The sequence below is a fragment of the Homo sapiens genome, chromosome X, assembly GCF_000001405.40.
Source record: "Homo sapiens chromosome X, GRCh38.p14 Primary Assembly".
Classification (NCBI taxonomy): Eukaryota; Metazoa; Chordata; class Mammalia; order Primates; family Hominidae; genus Homo; species Homo sapiens.
In genome coordinates, this window is record NC_000023.11 from 18,803,857 (window position 1) to 18,826,124 (window position 22,268).

General features: G+C 40.5%; 1 protein-coding gene across 19 annotated transcripts in view; it reads left to right on the plus strand.

Moving 5' to 3' along the window:
• Positions 1-22,268, plus strand: part of PPEF1 (protein phosphatase with EF-hand domain 1) — a 152,851-nt gene that overhangs the window by 128,790 nt on the left and 1,793 nt on the right. For 17 of the 19 annotated variants that reach the window (XM_047442194.1, NM_001378382.1, NM_001377986.2 and 14 more), the window contains 5 exons: positions 36-221; positions 2,547-2,689; positions 14,183-14,289; positions 20,067-20,230; positions 21,895-21,979. In XM_047442194.1, coding sequence (XP_047298150.1) covers positions 36-221; positions 2,547-2,689; positions 14,183-14,289; positions 20,067-20,230; positions 21,895-21,979 — 685 coding nt within the window. The remainder of the gene's footprint in view (positions 1-35; positions 222-2,546; positions 2,690-14,182; positions 14,290-20,066; positions 20,231-21,894; positions 21,980-22,268) is intronic. The other 2 variants (NM_152226.2, NM_001389623.1) reach the window with 1 other exon arrangement.

The following is a 22,268-nucleotide window of genomic DNA, read 5'->3' on the forward strand; positions in this document are numbered from 1 at the left end:
GTAAGTTACAGCGAAATCTGGTTTGTTGTTCCAAGATTATTGATATTCTGTGGAGTGATCCCAGAGGCAAAAATGGCTGTTTTCCAAATACGTGCCGAGGAGGGGGCTGCTATTTTGGACCAGATGTTACTTCCAAGATTCTTAATAAATACCAGTTGAAGATGCTCATCAGGTCTCATGAATGTAAGCCCGAAGGGTATGAAATCTGTCATGATGGGAAGGTAAGCTAAAATTGTTGGTGACATTCCCATAAACATCCTTCCCCTAAGCACAGTCTTTTCTTCACAGAGCATGTCTGGCCTAGAAGCCCATGAGAAGATGTCTTCTCTAGTACCAAACAGAAACCAGAGAAGGCGAGCTTCATCTAGGTTGTTTGAAGGGGCCTCACTGTCCCTTATCCTAAAAGATATTTGGTTTATTTCCCTGATCTTCCCTAATCCCAGAAACAGAAATTCTTTTTTTTTTTTTGAGATGGAGTCTCACTCTGCCACCCAGGTTGGAGTGCAGTGGTGTGATCTCAGCTCACTGCAACCTCCGCCTCCCGGGTTCAAGTGATTCTCGTGCCTCAGCCACCCAAGTAGCTGGGATTACAGGTGTGCGCCACCACACCCAGCTAATTTTTGTATTTTTAGTAGAGACAGGGTTTCACCATGTTAGCCAGACTGGTCTCAAACTCCTGACCTCAGGTGATCCGCCTGCCTCGGCTTCCCAAAGTGCTGGGATTACAGTCGTGAGCCACCGCGCCTGGCCCCAGAAACAGAAATTCTGATACATGGCACTAAGTAGACACACAGAAAGGCTTGGTTCTTATAAGGCAACTGTCCCATACAGTGGGGTTGAGAATGTCCTTTTCCTCACAGAGCGCATAAAAGGCAGCAGTGAATCCAGTTTGCTCTTGCACTTTTTACATGTTCCCTGTGCAGGGCCCAAAACACAAAACACACTTCCCTTCAGCTCCCTGAGTAGGTGACCTCCAGCAAGTTGCTCACTGTAGTCAGTTTAGCTGCAGCCACTAAAACGGAGTGTGTTGTGTTCCTTCAGTGGTGTCTGATCAAAGGCTAAAAGAGGTGAGGACCGAGGAGCTGGTTTCTTGTCCCAAGTTGTTCTGGGATGCACCGTTTCTTTTTTTTTTCTTTTTTCTTTTTTTTGAGACAGAGTCTCGCTGTGTTGTCCAGGCTGGAGTGCAGTGGTGCAATCTCGGCTTACTGCAACCTCCGCCTCCCGAGTTCAAGTGATTCTCTTGCCTCATGCTCCCGAGAAGCTGGGATTACAGGCGCCCGCCACTACGTCCAGCTAATTTTTGAACTTTTAGTAGAGACAAGGTTTCATGATGGCCAGGCTGGTCTCAAACTCCTGACCTCAGGTGATCCACCTGCCTCAGCCTCCCAAAGTGCTGGGATTATAGGCATTAGCCACCGCGCCTGGCCTGGAATGCACCTTTTTCTATAGTGAACAGCAATAAATAAAAATGGACACCAAGTTGTGTGGCATTTCCCTCTGTGTCAGCACTTTGTTTTTCTGACCTTTATTAATTCATTTTCAGCTCATACTAACATTCCAAGATGAGTAAGGCAAGTATTGTTTAGGGTTTCTTTGTAGTAAGAAAATAGATAGAAAACATCAGTGGCTTGTCTGAAGTGACATGCTCATCAGGACAGAACGGGGCCTAAACCAGGTTCCCTGTCACCCACAAATATTGTCCTCCTGGCTGGGCACGGTGGCTCATGCCTGTAATCCCAGCACTTTGGGAGGCCAAGGCAGGTGGATCACGAGGTCAAGAGATCGAGACCATCCTGGTCAACATGGTAAGACCCTGTCTCTACTAAAAATACAAAAATTAGCTGGGCGTGGTGGCACACACCTGTAGTACCAGCTACTCGGGAGGCTGAGGCAGGAGAATTCCTGGAACCCAGGAGGTGGAGGTTGCAGTGAGGTGAGATCGTGCCATTGCATTCCATCATGGTGAGAGAGCGAGACTCCATCTTAAAAAAAAAAAAAAAAAAATTGTCCTCCCATATTCTACCACAGCCCAAGGCTAGTTCCTTCACAAGACAGTGGTCGTGGTCCCTTATTCTAGCCACTGCACCTCTGCCCTTAAAGCACTGACTTTCTGGGGCCCTGAACCCTCTAAATCACTCAGCTCCAAGCAGAAGAAAAAAACCGAAGTACCAGACAAATTTTGTTCTGAATGCTCAACTATTACAAGGCAAGAAAATAGGGGATTTATCCCCTTGGAAAAAGAATTTGCAAAATCAAACATTAAAGAGGATTCTGAGATTTGGCACTAAAATTGTACCCGAGAATGCAGGGCCATGCGCTGAGGACATTGGCTGAGTGGCCAGGAGTTAGTGCTGCTGGGGACACTGGGTAGTAGCCTTGTTTTCCTCCGATGCAGTCATAGAAATCACATCAGACTGTGATGATTTGCAGGGTTTATGAACCTTCTTTGATTTTTGCTTTTTAAGAATTGAGCTATTTCTGACCTTATTGAATGACCTTTTGAGAACTAATGTTACGTGAACCTGACCCTCTTTTTCTTTAACCAGGTGGTGACTATATTTTCTGCTTCTAATTATTATGAAGAAGGCAGCAATCGAGGAGCTTACATCAAACTATGTTCTGGTACAACTCCTCGATTTTTCCAGTACCAAGTAACTAAAGCAACGTGCTTTCAGCCTCTTCGCCAAAGGTGTGTATACTATACCGAGAGTGCTGAGCACTGGTATCACGGACCCATTAGAACCAGTCCCACGTGACTAAGAGCAGCCACGTGAGTGAAGAGAGTCATTTATAGCTTACTCATTAGTATCAACAAAATGTAAATAGTTCCAGACACCAAGTGGTGAATGCACCCATATTTGAAACCAAAAAGAGCAATTTTAAATTCATACATCTTTTTAGATGGATAAAGCAGTCAGCCCTCAGAAACGTAACTGAATGTAAAGAAAAGAAGATCCCCACACCCACTCAGTCCCCCAACCTACAACCTTCTCTGACCCACAAACAGCTCTATCTGGTCTTGCCCCTTTCTCTTCTCTATCCAGAAGTGTATGTGACAAATAGTTGAGTGTCTCTCTCCATGTGATGGCATTTGTAGCTTATACTCCTTTTCTCCCTTTAACATTATCTTTCTAAGTGTTTTTTTTGGTTTTTTTTTTGTTTGTTTTTTTTCATTTGTTTTTTGTTTTTTTGAGACGGAGTCTCGCTCTGCAGCCCAGGCTGGAGTGCAGTGGCGTGATCTCAGCTCCCTGCAACCTCTGCCTCCCAGGTTCAAGCTGTTCTCCTGCCTCAGCCTCCTGAGTAGCTGAGATTACAAGGGCCCGCCACAACACCTGGCTAACATTTTATATTTTTGGTAGAGACGGGGTTTCACCATGTTGGCCAGGCTGGTCTTGAACTCCTGACCTCATGTGATCTGCCTGCCTTGACCTCCCAAAGTACTGGGATTACAGGCATGAGCCACTGCGCCCGGTCTAAGATTTTTTACATTATAGAACTAACATGTTTGTTGTTAACAACTGAAAAAAAGCAAAGAAGAATAAAGAAATTGTTAACAACTTCTCTCCTTTCTCAATTATCCTTTTCCCCAGAGGTAACTAAAACTGGCAGTTTAGAATGGCCCCTTCCACCCTCTTCTTGCTCTTACAAAAATAGTCAAGCATTTATTCAGTCATTGAATTAAAAAAAACCTTTGAGTACCTGCCATGTGTCAGATACTATTCTAGGCATACATAATATAAGATAGGCTGAAGTCCCCTCATCAAACACATATCTCAGTGTGAAGAGAAAGACGATAAACAATGTACATACTTTTTTTTTTAAAGAAGGAGTCTTGCTCTGTTGCCCAGGCTGGAGTGCAGTGGCACGATCTTGGCTCACTGCAACCTCCACCTACTGGGTTCAAGTGATTCTCCTGTCTCAGCCTCCCGAGTAGCTGGGACTACGGGCATGCCCCACCACGCTGGGCTAATTTTTGTATTTTTAGTAGAGACGGGGTTTCACCTTGTTGGCCAAGCTGGTATTGAACTCCTGACCTCAGGTGATTTGCCCGCCTCGGCCTCCCAAAGTGCTGAGATTACAGGTGTGAGCTACCACGCCCAGCCTGTACGTACATTTTTTTTTTTTTTTTGAGACGGAGTCTTGCTCTGTTGCCAGGCTGGAGTGCAGTGGTGCGATCTCAGCTCACTGCAACCTCTGCCTCTTGGGTTCAAGCAATTCTCCTGCCTCAGCCTCCCAAGTAGCTGGGACTACAGGTGCACGCCACCACACCCAGCTAATTTTTGTTTTTTTAGTAGAGAGGGGGTTTCACCATGTTGGCTAGGATGGTCTCGATCTCTTGACCTTGTGATCCGCCCGCCTCAGCTTCCCAAAGTGCTGGGATTACAGTAGTGAGCCACCACGCCCGGCCGTACGTATATTTTTTAAAGAAAGAATCACACTGCATACTGTATTCTGCAACTGAATTTTTCCCCTAAAAATTTTATCATGAACATCACCGCAAGTTAGTAAAGATAGACCTAACTCATTCTTTTTAGTACATACATATTATTCTGTAGTATACATGTACCATAACAGTTATGGAGCAACTAAATCTTATCCAATTGATAGACATCCAGATTGGTTCCAGGATTCTGCATTTAAAAACAATGCTATAACTAGCATTCCTATATATAAGGAACTCATACGACTCAACAGCAAAAAAAAAAAAACCAAGTAATCCAATTTAAAAAATAGGCAAAGGACCTGAATAGACATTTTCCCAAAGACATACAAATGGCCAACAGGTATACGAAAAGATGCTCAACGTCACTAATTATCAGGGAAATGCAATGCACAGCCACAATGAGATAGATACCCTCTCTCACCGGTTAGAATGGCTGTTATCAAAAAGACAAAACCTAAGTGTTGACCAGGGAGTGTAGAAAAGGGAACGCTTGTACTCTGTTGATAGGAATATGGATTAGTACAGCCATTATAGAAAACGGTATAGAAGTTCCTCAAAACATTAAAAATAGAAGTACCATATGATCCAGCAATCCCACTACTGGGTATATATCCAAAGGAAATGAAATCAGTATCTTGAAGAGATATTTGCATTCCCATGCTCAGTGTGGCATTATTCACAATAGTCAAGATATGGTAACAAACCAAGTGTCTATCAAGACAGAAAAAGAAAGTGTGACTGATATACGTGTGTGGATTTATATATTATATATATATAGATATATCACATTATATCTATCTATCTATCTATCTATCTATCTATCTATCTATCTATCTATCTAGTAATTCCTTGATATTTGTAGGGAATTGGTTCCAGGAGCCCTCTCAGATACCGAAATCCCTGGATGCTCAAGTCACTTATATAAAATAGCATGGTATTTGCATAAAACCTATGCACATCCTTCCATATACTTTAAGTCATCTCTAAATTACTTATAATACCGAATGCACTATAAACACTATGTCAATAGTTGTTATACTGTATTGTTTAGGGAATAATGACAAGAAGAAGTCTGTACATGTTAAGTACAGGCACAACCATCTGTTTTAAAAAAAATAAATTTGGCCAAGCGCAGTGGCTCACGCTTGTAGTCCCAGCACTTTGGGAGGCCGAGGCAGGAGGATCATTTGAGCCCAGGAGTTCGTGACTAGCTGGGCAACATGGTGAAACCCCATCTCTACATAAAATACAAAAATTAGCTGGACGTGATGGCGCACACCTGTAATCCCAGCTACTCTGGAGGCTGAGGCAGGAGAATCACTTGAGCCTGGAAGGTCAAGGCTGCAGTGGGCCAAGACTGCACCACTGCACTCCAGGTTGGGCAATAAAGTGAGACCCTGTCTCAAAAAAAAAAAAAATCCACTGAAGGGAAACCCATGCATACAGAGGGCTGATTGTACATGCACAATGGAATATTATTCCAACATAAAAAAGAAATCCTGACATTATGACAACATGGATAAACCTGGAGGGCATTTTGCTAAGTGAAATAAGTCAGACAAATACTGTATGACATCACTTATATGTGGAATCTAAAAAAGCTGAACTCATAGAAACAGAGAGTAGTATGGTGGTTGCCAGGGGCTGAGAGGTGGAGGATATCTGGAGATACAGGTATATCAAATCATCACATTGTATACCTTAAATATGTACAATTTTATTTGCCAGTTATAAATATGTTATAGTTTTATGTCAATAAAGCTGGAAAAAATCCTCTGTGTGTGTGTGTGTGTGTGTGTGTGTGTGTGTGGACATATATCCATAAGTTTTAGTGGCTTTTTTAATGTAAGATTTTACAATGTGGAATTTATGGAATTTATATGTTTAAAATTTTAATAGCTACTTCAGAAGGGTTATAACATTGGACAATCTGAAAAACAACATACCATATTTATTTATAATTTCATTATAATTTTTGGATCTGTACCTTTGTTTAGAAAATTTCTCTTTCTCTGTCTCTGCCTCTCTCTGCGCACACACACACACACACACACAAATTCTCAAATTTAACAGCTACGTTGAGATGTAATTTACATACCACAAAGTTTACCCATTTACAATTCAATGACAGTACGTTTAGAGTTGTGCAACTATCACCATTATCTAACTTTTGAACATTTTTGCCATCCTAAAAAGAAAACTCATACCCACTGAGCAGTCATTTCTCAGTCACCTCCTCCCATCACAGCCCTAGGCAACCACTAATCTATTTTCTGTCTCTATGGATTTGCCTATTCTCGGCATTTCATATAAATGAGATCACACAATATGTGGTCTTTTGTGGCTGGCCTCTTTCACTCAGCACAATGTTTTTGAGGTCATTCATGTTGTATTCTATATCAGTACTTCATTCCTTCTTATGGGTGAATAATATTCCATTGTATGGATAGACCACATTTTGTTTGTCCATTCATGAGTTGATAGATATTTAGGGTGTTTCCACTAGTTGGCTATTATAAACAATGGTGTTATGAACATTCATGGGCAAGTTTTTGTGTGTACATGTTTCATTTCTCTTGAGTAAATACTTGGTAATGGAATTGCTGGGTTATATGGTAACTCTGTGTTTAACATTTTGAGAAACTTGCAAACTTTTTTCCCAAGAAGCTAACCAGTTTACCATTTCCACCATCAGTGTGTGAGGATTCCAGGTTTTCTACATCATTGCCAACTCTTGTTATGATCTCTTTTTATTTATTTATTTTTTTGAGACAGAGTTTCACTCTTGTTGCCCCAGGCTGGAGTGCAGTGGCACAGTCTTGGCTCACTGCAACCTCCACCTCCTGGGTTAAAGTGATTCTCCTGCCTCAGCCTCCCGAGTAGCTGGGACTACAGGCATGCGCCACCATGCCCAGCTAATTTGTGTATGTTTAGTAGAGATGAGGTTTCTCCATGTTGGCCAGGCTGGTCTCAAACTCCTGACCTCAGGTGATTTGCCCGCCTCGGCCTCCCAAAGTGCTGGGATTACAGGTGTGAGCCACCGCGCCCAGCTTGATCTCTCTTTTTTCTTATTGTTCTCTTAGTGGTGTGAGGTAGAATCTCATTGTAGTGTTGCGTTGTATTTCCCTAATGATTAATGATGTTGAGCGTCTTTCCATGTGCTTATTGGACATTTGTACATCTTCTTTAGAAATATTATATTTCAGGTACATTTTCCATTTTTAATTGTCACTCTTTATTTTTGCATTGCAAGAGTTCTTTATTCTATATACACATCACTTATTCAGTATATATATATATATATATATATATATATTTTTTTTTTTTTTTTTTTTGAGACAGGGTCTCACTTTGTTGCCCAGGCAAAGGCGATCATGGCTCACTGCAGCCTTGGCCTGCGGGGCTCAATTGATCCTCCTGCCTCAGCCTCTGAAGTAGCTGGGGCTACAGGCACAAGCCAGCACACTTGGCTAATTTTTGTATTTTTGATGAAACGGGATTTCACCATGTTGCCCAGGCTGATCTTGAACTCCTGGGCTCAAGAGATCCACCTGCTTCAGCTTCCCAAAGTGCTGGGATTACAGGCGTGAGCCACCACGACTGGCCACTTGTTCAGTATTTGATTTGCAAACATTCTCTCTCATTCTGTGGGATCTCTTATCCCTTTCTCTGTGGTATTATTTGTAGTGCAAACATTTTTCATTTTGATGAAATCCAATTTATGTGCTTTTTTGGTGGTGTTGTATCTAAGAAGGCATTGCCTAACTCAGAGTCATAAGGATTCATTCCTATGTTCTCTTCTAAGAGTTTTATAGGTTTAGCTCCTACACTTAGGTTTCTGATCCATTTTGAGTTAATTTTTGTGTATGGTGTGAAGGAAGGGTTCAGCTTTATTCTTTTACATGTGGATATCCAGTTGTCCCAGAACCATGACTCAAAGACTGTTCTTTCCTTCTTGGCACTCTTGTCAAAAATCAGTTGACCATAATATAAGGGTTTGTTTCTGGCCTTTAAATTGTATTCTATTTGTCTATGTCTATGTCTATCCTAATGCTAGGACCACACTGTCCTAATTATTGTAACTTTACAAACTTACTACAGTTTTAAAACTGGTAAATGTGAGTTGAACGTTGCACTTCTTTTTAAAGATTGTTTTGGCTATTTTGGGTCCCTTGCATTTTCATGTAAATTTCAGAATCAGCTTGTCAATTTGCAAAAATACCAGCTGAGAATTTGATAGGGATTATGTTGAGTCTGTAGATCAATTTGAAGGCTGTTACCATCTTAACAATATTAAGTTGTCCAATCCATGAACATGAAATTTTGTTCTATTTAAATCTTCTTTAATTTCCTCCAATAATATTTTGAACTTTTCAGTGTACAAGTCTAGGACTTATTTTGCTAAATTTATTTCTAAATATTTTATTCCTTTTGCTGCTATAGTAAATGGAATTGTTTTTCTTTTCTTTCCTTTTCTCTTTTTTTGGAGACAGGGTCTCACTCAGTCACCCAGGCTGGAGTGCAGTGATGTGATCATAGCTCACTGCACCCTCAAATTCCTGGGCCTTACATTAAAATTAGCTTGCACCACCACACCCGGCTAATTTTTTCAATTTTCTGTAGAGACAGGGTCGCACTATGTTGCCTAGGCTGGGTCTCGAACTCCTGGGCTCAAGTGATCCTCCAGTCTTGGCTTCCCAAAGTGCTGGGATTACAGATGTGAGCCACCGCACTTGGCCTGTTTTCTTAATTATATTTTTAGATTCTTGATTTCTAGTGTATAGAAATACAATTGATTGGCCGGGCACGGTGGCTCATGCCTGTAATCCTAGCACTTTGAGAGGCTGAGGCGGGTGGATCACGAGGTCAGGAGATCAAGACCAGCCTGGCCAATATGGTGAAACCCTGTCTCTACTAAAAATACAAAAATTAGCTGGGTGTGATGGCACACGCCTGTAGTCCCAGCTACTCAGGAGGCTGAGGCAGAAGAATGGCTTGAACCCGGGAGGCGGAGGTTGCAGTGAGCCAACATCACGCCACTGCACTCCAGCCTGGGCCACGGAGCAAGACTCCGTCTCAAAAAAAAAAAAAAAAAAAACAATTGATTTTTGGATATTGATCTTGTACAATCTTGATTAACTTGTTAGTTTTAATCTTTTTCTAGTAGAGTCATTGAGATTTTTTATAACCTAGATCATATCTGTTAATGGAGACAGTTTTACTTCTTTTCCAATCTGGATCCCTTGTATTTATTTTTCTTGTATAATCATCCTGGCTAAAACCTCCAGTACAGTGTTGAATAAAACTGGTGAGGGCAGATATACCTGTCTTATTTCTGATCTTAAGGGAATGCATTCACTCTTTGATAATTAAGTATGATGTTAGCTGTGTATTTTTATAGATGCCTCTCGTCAAGTGGAAGAAGTTTCTTTCTATGCCTAGTTTGGGTAGTGTTTTTATCATGAAAGAGTGTTGAATTTCATCAGATAAATTTTTTCTGCATGCATTGAGATGATCATGTGATTTTTGTGATTTTTTAAAATTTCAACTTTTATTTTCGATTCAAGGAGTACATGTGCAGATTTGTTACATGGGTATATTGTGTGATGCTGGGGTTTGATGTATGAGTGATTTCATCACCCAGGTAGTGAGCATAATACCCGATACTTAGTTGTTCAGCCCTTGCCCTCCTTTCTGCCTCCCCATCTAGTAGTTCCCAGTGTCTATTTTTCCCATCTTTATGTCCATGTGTACCCAATGGTGAGCTCCCACTTAAAAGTGAGAACATATGGCATTTGGTTTTCTGTTCCTATGTTGATTCACTTAGGATAATGGCTTCCAGCTGCATCCATGTTGCTGCAAAAGAAATGATTTTGGTTTTTTTATGGTTGTATACTATTTCATGGTGTATATGTATTGCATTTTCATTATCCAATCCACCATTGATGGACACCTAGGTTGATTCCGTGTTTTTGCTATTAGGAATAGTTCTATGATGAACATACAACTGCATGTGTTTTTGGTACAATGATTTATTTTCCTTTGGGTATATACCTAGTAATGGGATTGCTGGGTCCAAATGGGAGTTCCATTTTTAGCTCTTTGAGAAATCTCCAAAGTGCTTTCTACAGTGACTGAACTAGTTTGCATTTACACCAGCGGTGTATAAGCATTCCCTTTTCTCTGCAGCCTTGCCAATATTTATTATTTTTTGACTTCTGAATAATAGTCATTCTGACTGGTGTGAGATGGTATCTCATTGTGGTTTTGATTTGCATTGCTCTGAGGTTCAGTGATGTTGAGCATTTTTTCATGTTGGTTGGCCGCTTATAGGTCTTGTTTTGAGAAGTGTTTGTTCATATCCTTTGCCCGCTTTTTAATGGGGCTATTTGTTTTTTGCTTGTTGAATAGTTTAAGTTCCTTATAAATTCTGGATATTAGACCTTTGTTGCATACATAGTTTGTGAAGATTTCCTCCCAATCTTTAGGTTGCCTGCTTACTCTGTTGATATTTTCTTTTGCTGTGCAGAAGTTCTTTAGTTTAATTAGTTCTCATTTGTCAATGTTTGTTTTTGTTACAATTGCTTTTGAGGACTTAGTCATAAATTATTTGCTAAGGCTGATGTCCAGAAGGGTATGTCCTAGGTTTTCTTCTAGGATTTTTACAGTTTGAGGTCTTACATTTATTAATAAGTCTAATCCATCTTGAGTTAATTTTTGCATATGGTGATAGGTAGAGGTCCAGTTTCATTCTTCTGCGTATGAATAGCCAGTTATCCCCGTGTCATTTATTGAATAGGGAGTCCTTTCCCCATTGTTTATTTGTCCTGTGTTAATATGGTATATTACATTGGTTGATTTCAGCTATTAGACAAAGCTTGCATTCCTAGAATAAATCCCACTTACCCATGGTGTATAATCCTTTTTATATGTTTCTGGATGCCATTTGCTAGTATTTTGTTGAGGATATTGTATCTATATTCATAAGAGATACTGGTCTGTAGTTTTCTTGTGATCTTTATCTGGTTTTTGTATCAAGGTAATACTAGCTTCTAAGTGGGCAGTATTCCCACCTCTTCTTTTTGGAAGAGTTTGTGAGTGATTGGCATTAATTCTTCCTTAAATGTTTCATAGAATTCACCAGTGAAGCCATCTGGCTCTGGGCTTGTCTTTGCGAATCATTTGATTACTTAGTCTTTTTACTTGTTACAGGCATGTTCAGTTTTTTAATTTCTTCCTAGTCAGTTTTGATCGTTTGTGTCATTCTAGCAATTTGTCCTTTTCATCTATGTTATCTAATTTGTTGGTCTACAGTTGTTCTTAGTATTTCTTTATAATCTTTCTTACTTTTGTAAGGTCAGTAGTGATGTCCCCTCTCACTCTTGATTTTAGAAATTTGAGTCTTTTTTCTTTTTTTTCTTGGACATTCTAAAAGTTTGACAATTTAGTTTCAAAGAACCAATTTTTAGTTTTGTTGATTTTTCTTTATTATCTTTCCATTCTCTATTTCATTTCTTACTGCTCTATTCTTTATTATTTCCTTTTATCTGCTTATGTTGGGTTCAGTTTACTCTTTTTTCCAATTTTTTATTTTATTTATTTATTTTTTTTTTTTTTGAGATGGAGTTTTGCTCTTGTTGCCCAGGCTGGAGTGCAATGGCGTGATCTCGGTTCACTGCAACCTCTGCCTCCCAGGTTCAAGTGATTCTCCTGCCTCAGCCTCCCAAGTAGCTGGGATTACAGGCATGAGCCACCACATCCAGCCTTTTTCCAATCTTTTAAAGTGGAAGATTATGTTACTGATTTGAGATCTTTTTTCTTTTTTTAATATAGGCATCTATAGCTATAAATTTTTATCTAAGCACTACTTCATATGTTTTGGTATGTTGTATTTTCATTTTCACTCATCTTAAAAGTATTTTCTGACTTCTCCTGTGATTTCTTCTTTGACCTATTGGTTAAGATTTTGTTGTTTAATTTTCTCATATTTGTGACTTGCCCAAATTTCTTCTGTTGTTAATTTTTAATTTATTTATTTTCCCAAATTACTTTATTAATTTATTTCTTTCAATAAATCCTAAATTTTCTTCAAAGTAAAGATACTTTGATCTTAATCCTTTTAAATCTATTAAGGCTTATATTATGGCCTAGCATCGAGTCTATTGTGGAGAATGTTCCACATGTACTATAGAAGAATGTAATTCTCTTGTTGTTGGGTGGAGTGTTTTATACATATCTGTGAGGTCTAGTTGGTTTGAGTGCTGTTCAAGACTTCTCTTTCCATGTTGATTTTCCACCTAGTTGTTTCATCCATTACTGAAAGTCGACTATTGAAGTCTCAATATTATTGTTGAATTGTCTATGTCTCCCTTCAGTTCTGTCCGTTTTTGCTTCATGTAGTTTTGAGCTCTGTTGTTAGGTTCTCATGTGTTTATAATTGCTTCATCTTCTTGATGGACTGTTTTATCATTATAAAATACCCCTCTTTGTCTCTGGTAACAATTTTTGTCTTAAAGTCCATTTTGTCTGCTATTGGTATGCCACTCTAGCTCTCAGGCTTGCCGTTTGCATGGAATTTCCTTTTTGTCTTTTTCCTTTTAAACTCTTTGTATTTTTGAGACTAAAGTGTGTCTCCTATTAACAACATATAGTTAGATCTTGTTTTGTTGCTTTTATCCAGTTTCACAATCTCTGCCTTTTGATTATTTAATCCATTCTCATATGATGTTATTATTGATATGCCTGGATTTACATCTATCATTTTGCCATGTGTGTGTGTGTGTGTGTGTGTGTGTGTGTGTGTGTACATGCACAAAAAATACAAAGAGGAACAAAACAGTAATTATATGTATGTGTGTGACTGTTTTGTTCCTCTGTTCCTCCTTTATTTGAAAATTTATTTTTGTAAATGGTCTGAGGTAGAGGTTGAAGTCTAGGTTGTTAGCTAACTATCCTAGCACTCTTTTTAAAAATTGTCCTCTTCTACTGAATTGCAATACCTCTGTATTATATATATTATTCCCATACATAGTTTGATATATTTATGAATTTTTTTTTTTGAGACAGAGTCTGGCTCTATTGCCCAGGCTGGAGTGCAATGGTGCAATCTCAGCTCACTGCAACCTCCGCCTCCTGGGTTCAAGCAATTCTCCTGCCTCAGCCTCCCAAGTAGCTGGGACTACAGGCACGTGCCACCATGCCCAGCTAATTTTTGTATTTTTAGTAGAGACGGGGTTTCACAATTTTGGCCAGGATGGTTTCGATCTCTTGACTTTGTCATCCACCCGCCTCGGCCTCCCAAAGTGTTGGGATTACAGGTGTGAGCCACCACACCCGGCCTTTGTTTATGAAATTTCTATTATGTTCTACTCATGTATCAGTCTTCTCTTGTGTCAACATCTGTTGTTTTATCTCAGTGATTTAATGATAAATTTCAATATCTGGTATAGTAAGTTCCTCTTTATTTTCCTTCTTTTCAAATGATTGTTCATGTGAGTTTTGACATTCAAAAGAAAATACTATTTGTAATCCTTTTAAAACTTCATGAAATGCATGTGTGCATGCACACACACATACACATACATATACATATGCATATATTTACCATCTAGTAGCGATATGTGAGAATCTGGGCAATTCATTTAAAGTAAAAATTCATAAATAGTAATATTGCACATTAAAATGAAACACAACAGGATGATTTATGTTACTTTTACCTAATTATTGTTTTCTTTGCAGAGTGGATACTATGGAAAACAGCGCCATCAAGATATTAAGAGAGAGAGTGATTTCACGAAAAAGTGACCTTACTCGTGCTTTCCAACTTCAAGACCACAGAAAATCAGGTAACAAATTTGCATAACATTTACCATTTCTTAACACACCAAGTTACATACAGATCACTTTTCATTTTCCTTGCTTCCTTAGGATTTCAGTTCTCCATTTTTACTAAGAAGGAAGAATAGAGATAAAAATAAAATATAATCCATTATTTGCTCAAAAAAGGCATATTTCTCCCTTTTAGCAAGCTATTTTCAACTTGGAAAACTAACAACAACCCTGAATTAAACTTTTTTTTTTTTTTTTTTGAGACAGAGTCTTGTTCTGTTGCCCAGGCTGGAGTGCAGTGGCGTGACCTCAGCTCACTATGACCTCCACCTCCTGGGTTTAAGCAATTCTCCTGCCTCAGCCTCCTAAGTAGCTAGGATTATAGGCATACACCACCACGCCCAGCTAATTTTTGTATTTTTAGTAGAGATGGGATTTCACCATGTTGTTCAGGCTGGTCTTAAACTCCTGACCTCATGATCCGTCCGCCTTGGCCTTCCAAAGTGCTGGGATTACAGGCGTGAGCCACCCGGCCCTAAACCTCTATTCTGATAGTATGCTAGACTAGATGTTCTGGAGGGCCTTCTTATTAACAAACAGCTAGATTTTGGAGGATGTAGAATGTTAATGCATTTACCAGCCTCACAGTAACGTGAATCTTCCAGCTGCATCTTCACTTTCCGTGAAAGATGATTTGAAACCACATGTGAGAGCATGGAGCAACAAGAAAGCACAAAAGACTAGATTTTCCTGGGGCCCAATGCTGATATTGGTATAGCAATCAATTCTGAGACTAAATTATAATATAGTAGGAAGATGGAAAAGCTGAATTTGAGACTTCCATCATCATGCTTGGACCCTCAAAGTGGCTAAAGTTGTCCTAAGTCTGTAATGCTCCCTGACTCCTGGCAAGCAAATGCAAATTTATCTTTGAGGGAAGCATCCCTAATTTTGGCCACTCACGTATCCAGAGATTAAGATCAACTCACATGAGATCACAATCAAAAATTACCAAACAAACAAGGATACAAACTACCATGAGTGAGAGTCAGCAGAAACAACAATTATTTCCCCGAGGACATCAAATATTGGAATTAGCAAATAAATATGTTCAAAGGAAATATGGAACCAGAAACATGCATTTGGGAATGATTTGAAGAAAAACCAAAGAGATAGAAAATATGCTTGTTAAAAAAAGTAAAAGCATAATGAATGGGTTAAACGGAAGATTAGACGCTACTCAAGAAAGAATTAGTTTAGGAGTTATAAACAGGCCAGGCGCAGTGGCTCATGCCTGTAATCCCAGCACCTTGGGAGATTGAGGCGGGCAGATCACATGAGGTCAGGAGTTTGAAACCAGCCTGGCCAACATGGTGAAACCCCACCTCTACTAAAAATACAAAAAAAAACAAAAAATTAGCCAGCCATGGTGGCAGGCACCTGTAATCCCAGTTACTTGGGAGGCTGAGACAGGAGAATTGCTTGAACCCAGGAGGCAGAGGTTGCAGTGACCCGAGACCGCACCATTGCACTCCAGCCTGGGTGACAAGAGTGAAACTCTGTCTCAAACAAACAAAAAAAGAGTTATGAACAATAAAATGAGAAGTTGAACATACACCTACTCAGAGTACTGGGAGGAGAGAATAGAATGTAAGAGACCATATATTTGACATGGTAATGGCTAAGACATTTCCAGAATTGATAAAAGACTCAAATTCATAAAGAGGAACAGTGATTCTCAAGTAGAATAAATGAAGTTAAATCCAGACCTACACACATTTGTTGTGAAACTCCAGAGCACCAGTAGCAAAGAAAAAATCTTTAAAAAGCAGGCAGAGAGGAAACACATATTGCTACAAAGAGATAACGATTAGACTGATAGATTTCTCAACAGTTGCAAAATTAGACCATAGAATCATATACACCAAACATTGGAAATTAAATTTAGAAAAACATATACCATGAAAACACTAACAAAAACAAAGCTAAGACAGCTTTATTAGTATCAGGCAAAGTAGACTCTAAGGAAGTATATATTACTAGAAATAAAAAAGGACATTTCATAATGATAAAATATTAATTATGCCAATTGAATCCATTCTAAATGTGTATGTACTTATTCATATAGCTTCAAAACTATTCAAAACAAAAATTGACAGAATAAAAAGTAGAAGTAGAAAAATCTACCACGATAGAGGGAGGTTTTAATACTCCTCTCTCAGGAACTAAAAGAACAAACAGATAAAAGATTAGCAGACTCTTTTTTTTTTTTTTTGAGATGGAGTCTTGCTCTGTCGCCCAGGCTGGAGTGCAGTAGCATGATCTCGGCTCACTGCAACCTCCGCCTCCCGGGTTCAAGCAATTCTCCTGCCTCAGCCTCCCGAGTAGCTGGGACTACAGGCGTGTGCCACCACGCCCAGCTAATTTTTTGTATTTTTAGTAGAGGTGGGGTTTCACTGTGTTAGCCAGAATGGTGTTGGTCTCCTGACCTCGTGATCCACCCGCCTTGGCCTCCCAAAGTGCTGGGATTACAAGCGTGAGCCACCGCGCCTGGCCAGCAAACTTTTTTCTTAAAAGACTACATAGAACTCTGTACCCAAATTTCAGAATGCATATTCTTATCAAGCACAAATGGACCATTTACAAAAAGTGACCACACACTGGAACATAAAGTGAATCTCAATAGGTTTTGAAGAATTGGAAACATTACAGAATAAAGTCTCTGACATATACAACTCCGTAACATAAGATAGTAATAAAATCACCCTTTGGCTTGGAAATGAGAAATATACTTAGAAATAATCCTTGGCTCCGGCCAGACGTGGTGGCTCATGCCTGTAATCCCAGCATTTTGGGAGGCCGAGGAGGGTGGATCACGAGGTCAGGAGATGGAGACCATCCTGGCTAACACAGTGAAACCCCGTCTCTACTAAAAATACAAAAAATTAGCCAGGCGTGGTGGCGGGCGCCTGTAGTCCCAGCTACTCGGGAGGCTGAGGCAGGAGAATGGCATGAACCCAGGAGGCGCAGCTTGCAGTGAGCCGAGATTGCGCCACTGCACTCCAGACTGGGAGAGAGAGCGAGACTCTGTCTCAAAAAAAAAAAAAAAAAAGAAATAATCCTTGGCTCAAAGAGAATCACAATGGAAATTAGATTGCTGAAACTGAATGACAATGAAAATACAATGTATTAGAATTTATGGGATGCAAATTAGAGAGGCATTGATGATAACCTTAAATGTAAAAGATATGATTAACAAAGTAAAAAAAAAAATTTGTTTTTGTTTTGTTTTGTTTTGAGATGGAGTCTCCCTCAGTCACCCAGGCTGGAGTGCAGTGGCACGATCTTGGCTCATTGCAACCTCCGCCTACCAGGTTAAAGCAATTCTTCTGCTTCAGCCTCCCCAAGTAGCTGGGACTACAGGCATATGCCACCACGCCCAGCTAATTATTTTTGTATTTTTAGTGGAGACAAGGTTTCATCATGTTAGCCAGGCTGGTCTGCAACTCTTGGCCTTAGGTGATCCACCTGCCTTGGCCCCCCAAAGTGCTGTGATTACAGGCATGAGCCACTGTGCCCGGCCAAAAAATGGTTCTTTGAGGGAACTGTTGAAGTTGACGAAACCATGGCGAGAGAGAGAGAGAGAGAGAGAGAGAGAGAGAGAGAGAGAGAGAGAAAACAAATAACCAGTGCAAGTGTAGGGAGGAGCTGCTGTCTAAGGCTGAGAGAGAGGACCCAAGGAAGGAAAAACTTGGAAGGGACCCCCTACTCCCAATCAAGAGATGAGATCAAGCCCTCATTGGTGAGGATGTGGCTATGGTCCACTGGATAGGGCAGAAGTTCACTGAGGTGCCTCAAGTTACAGTTGGGTCTCCGGCTGGTGGGCCAGGACTGGAGAGGATGGAGCCACCCACTGAGGTGCCAGCAAGACTCTCTTTGGGCTGTGCACCACCGCGTCTCCCACACACTAATGGTGAGGAAGCCATGGGCTGTGGTGTCAGTGAAATTTACTAGAAGGTGGGTGCCACTACATTTTCCACACATGCTAACCGTGCGGTGCTGTAGAAACAAGAAGCAAGGCACACCAGAACCAGAAAGAAAAGCTTTTTCTTTTGCTGTTCTTTGCAGTGTTCTTCCTGCACTGTCTACTAACAGAGACTAACGTTATACGAGCTGCCAAAGAGGAAATGATTACAGGGTCCAGCTCTAGTATCACAAAATGTGCAAAAAAAAAAAAAAGACTAGTTTTGGAGCTAAGTAGGAATAAATTGATAGCTGGGGTAGCCAGCAATTAGCTTTTAGATAACAAAAATCTTAAAAGATACCATTCACAATAGATAATCAAGTACTGTGGGAGAAACCTAATGAATGAGGTATGAGATTTCTTTTTTTTTTTTTGAGACGGAGTCTTGCTCTGTCGCCCAGGCTGGAGTGCAGTGGCACGATCTTGGTTCACTGCAAGCTCTGCCTCCTGGGTCCATGCCATTCTCCTGCCTCAGCCTCCCAAGTAGCTGGGACTACAGGCGCCCGCCACCATGCCTGGCTAATTTTTTGTATTTTTAGTAGAGACGGGGGAGGTATGAGATTTCTAAGATATTATTAAGATAAAGGGGACTGAAATAAATGGGTGGGTATTACTGTGTTCAAGGACTATAAGGGTTGAAGTTGTCAAGATACAAATTCCTCCCAAATTGAGCTATAGTTTCAATGCAATCTCAGTCAAAATCCCAAGGTGGGGATTTTTCAGTAGATCTTGAGAATCTGTATCTAAAAGTCATGTGGAATTACAAAAGGCCCCAAATAGCCAAGATGTTCCTGAAGAAAAAGAACAAGGTGGGAAGACTTTCCCTATTATATATCAAGATCTATTATAAAAGTACAGTAATTAGAATGGTATGCAATTGGCACAAGAATACCCATATAGACAATGGAAGCAAGTAGAGAATCCTGAAACAGATTCATGCATATATAGACACTTGAAGGTCCCACTGCTGAGCAGTGGGCAAAGGAGTCTTTTCAATAAACGATGCTGGGCCAAATGGATATCCCTATAAAAATAGAAACAGCCTATATGTAATAAAGATATTTGTGTTTTGAAAAATTACATATATTAGGAGGAAAAGAATATTAGTTGTGAAATGACAGGTGAATAATACATCTTTTATTCTTTGTATTCTTTTGTGTTTTTCAAATCTTCTATAATAAGCAAACCTAGGCCGCGCATGGTGGCTCACACCTGTAATCCCAGCACTTTGGGAGGCTGAGGTGGGCAGATGACTTGAGGTCAGGAGTTCAAGACCAGCCTGGCCAACATGGTGAAACTCTATCTCTACTAAAAGTACAAAAAAATTAGCCGGGTATGGTGGCGTACACCTGTAATCCCAGATACTTGGGAGGCTGAGGCAGGAGAATCACTTGAACCCAGGAGGCGGAGGTTGCAGTGAGCTCAGATGGCACCACTGCACTCCAGCCTGGGTGAAAAGAGCCAGACTCCTTCTCAAAAAAAAAAATAAATAAATAAATAAGTAAGCATACCTTACTTTGTTAATCAAAAAAAAGGAAAAAAAAAATCTAACACGTGAAGTCTGATTTCTTACAGGTGACAGGAAGGACACGATCTGTGGAACACTGAAGATATCCTTGAGTTAGTTCTCCTTCAGGGCTGCAGGGCCTGGGAGGATAAATTATGAGGGAGAGCAGCTGGCCCCATGCTGCCCTGGCTCTCCCAAGGAGGTTGCATTCTTTAAAATCATATTTTAACAAATCATTTGGGCTTTGTTATTGTTGTTGTTAGGAAAACTTTCTGTGAGCCAGTGGGCTTTTTGCATGGAGAACATTTTGGGGCTGAACTTACCATGGAGATCCCTCAGTTCGAATCTGGTAAACATAGACCAAAATGGAAACGTTGAATACATGTCCAGCTTCCAGAATATCCGCATTGAAAAACCTGTACAAGAGGCAAGTGAAACATAGCCCCAGCTAAAACCTAGCCAGGGTGAAACATAACTTAGTCCTTTGAAAAGCTGGGAGTGGCCGGGCACAGTGGCTCACGCCTGTAATCCCAGCACTTTCGGAGGCCAAGGCGGGCAGATCCCGAGGTCAGGAGTTCGAGACCAGCCTGACCAACATGGTGAAGCCCCGTCTCTACCAAAAATACAAAAATCAGCCGGGTGTGGTCGTGCCCACCTGTAATCCCAGCTACTCAAGAGGCTGAGGCAGGAGAATTGCTTGAACCCAGGAGGCGGAGGTTGCAGCGAGCCAGGATCGCACCATTGCACTCCAGCCTGGGTGACAGAGCGAGACTCCATCTCAAAAAAAGAGAAGCTGGGAGTGGGATAATCTAATAGATGGAGTGGCAGTCTTAGGAAAAGCCGAAGGGGAATCTCCCAGGTACACTGTGGTCTGTTCAGCAAATTTGTGTGTTCCCAGGATAAGCAAAAAGAAAAAAGAAAAAGCTTCCACAAGCAAGTCCACATCAAATACTGGATTTTTTTTTGTAAGTGCTGTCTAGCAGAAGGGGAGATATGACATCCATGCTTTTTGTTTGTTTTTTGAGGTGGAGTCTCGCTCTGTTGCCCAGGCTGGAGTGCAGTGGTGCAGTCTCGGCTCACTGCAACCTCTGCCTGCCACGCTCAAGTGACTCTCCTGTCTCAGCTTCCCAAGTAGCTGAGATTACAGGCGCCTGCCACCATACCCAGCTAATTTTTATATTTTTAGTGGAGATGGGGTTTCACCATGTTGACCAGGCTGGTCTTGAACTCTTGACCTCAAGTGATCTGCCCACCTCGGCCTCCCAAAGTGCTGGGATTACAGGCATGAGCCCCTGTGCCTGGCCTGACATCCATGCTTTTATACAACATACCATTTCTAATACTTAATGTATTGCTTGTTAAGCCTGAGTGTACAGACTTGCTGACATGACCCAGAATATGTCTGAAAGAGTTTTGAAATGTAGAAATCTTTTCTTAGAATGTGAATATCAGGGAGATTTATCAGATCCCCATACTTATTAGTTAACAATTCATCAGCAGTTAAATATGACATTGAGCTGAAAAGGAGCTGGTTGGAGCTAGGACTTGGGTGATCATTTGCAGTGAAGATGAGACGTTAAGAGCAGAGAGAAGGGAAGTAAAGGTAGGTTAGAGACTAAAGTATCCCCAGGAAGGAGGCTTTTGACGTCACTTCAGAGGCAGTTTACCATGGTGACTAAGATCACAGGCCTTGGCTTCAGGCAGCCGAGATTTAAATCCCACTCACCAGCTCTGTGACCCTTGGGAAAGTTCCTTTATCTCCCTGTTTTCAAATTTGTAAAATGGACATAATAATAGTTCTGTTCTTGTTCATTCTTGTTGTAGAGGACCGAATGAAATAATCCACATAAAGTTCTCTGTAAATGGTGGCTGTGTTAGTTACTGCTGCCTTATTCATTTTGGCCCTGTCCCCTGAGGATCACAGACTGAATGAAGAGGGTGGGGCCTCCAAGGGAAGTCTGGCCTTCTCAGATTTCTGTCTAAATCACATCATTTCAATTGTTGATGATGTTTTCTGTTTGTTACATTTGCTAAAAGCGATCAGTGTCATGAATTCAATATGTTCTAACACTTAGAAAATCTTTATTTTAGGCTCATTCTACTCTAGTTGAAACTCTGTACAGATACAGATCTGACCTGGAAATCATATTTAATGCCATTGACACTGATCACTCAGGTAAATAAATGAACTTGGATGAGTCCATTTAAAAAGTGTATGTGTGTGTGTATGTTGGGGATACAAAATGAGTACACTTTGATTGAGCCCTATAATTAATATGGTTTGACACCTTCATTGGTAAGATGGAGGCCTTGCTTATGCATACTGTTAAATGAAAATTGTAGGAGCCCATTGTTTTGGACTAAGCTCCTTCACCAGGCCCCAACAGACTAGACTAAAAGTCAAAATGGGGTAGCAGTAGTAGAAAGCAAAGGCTAATCTGGTTCTCTGAAATCAGAACTCTGAT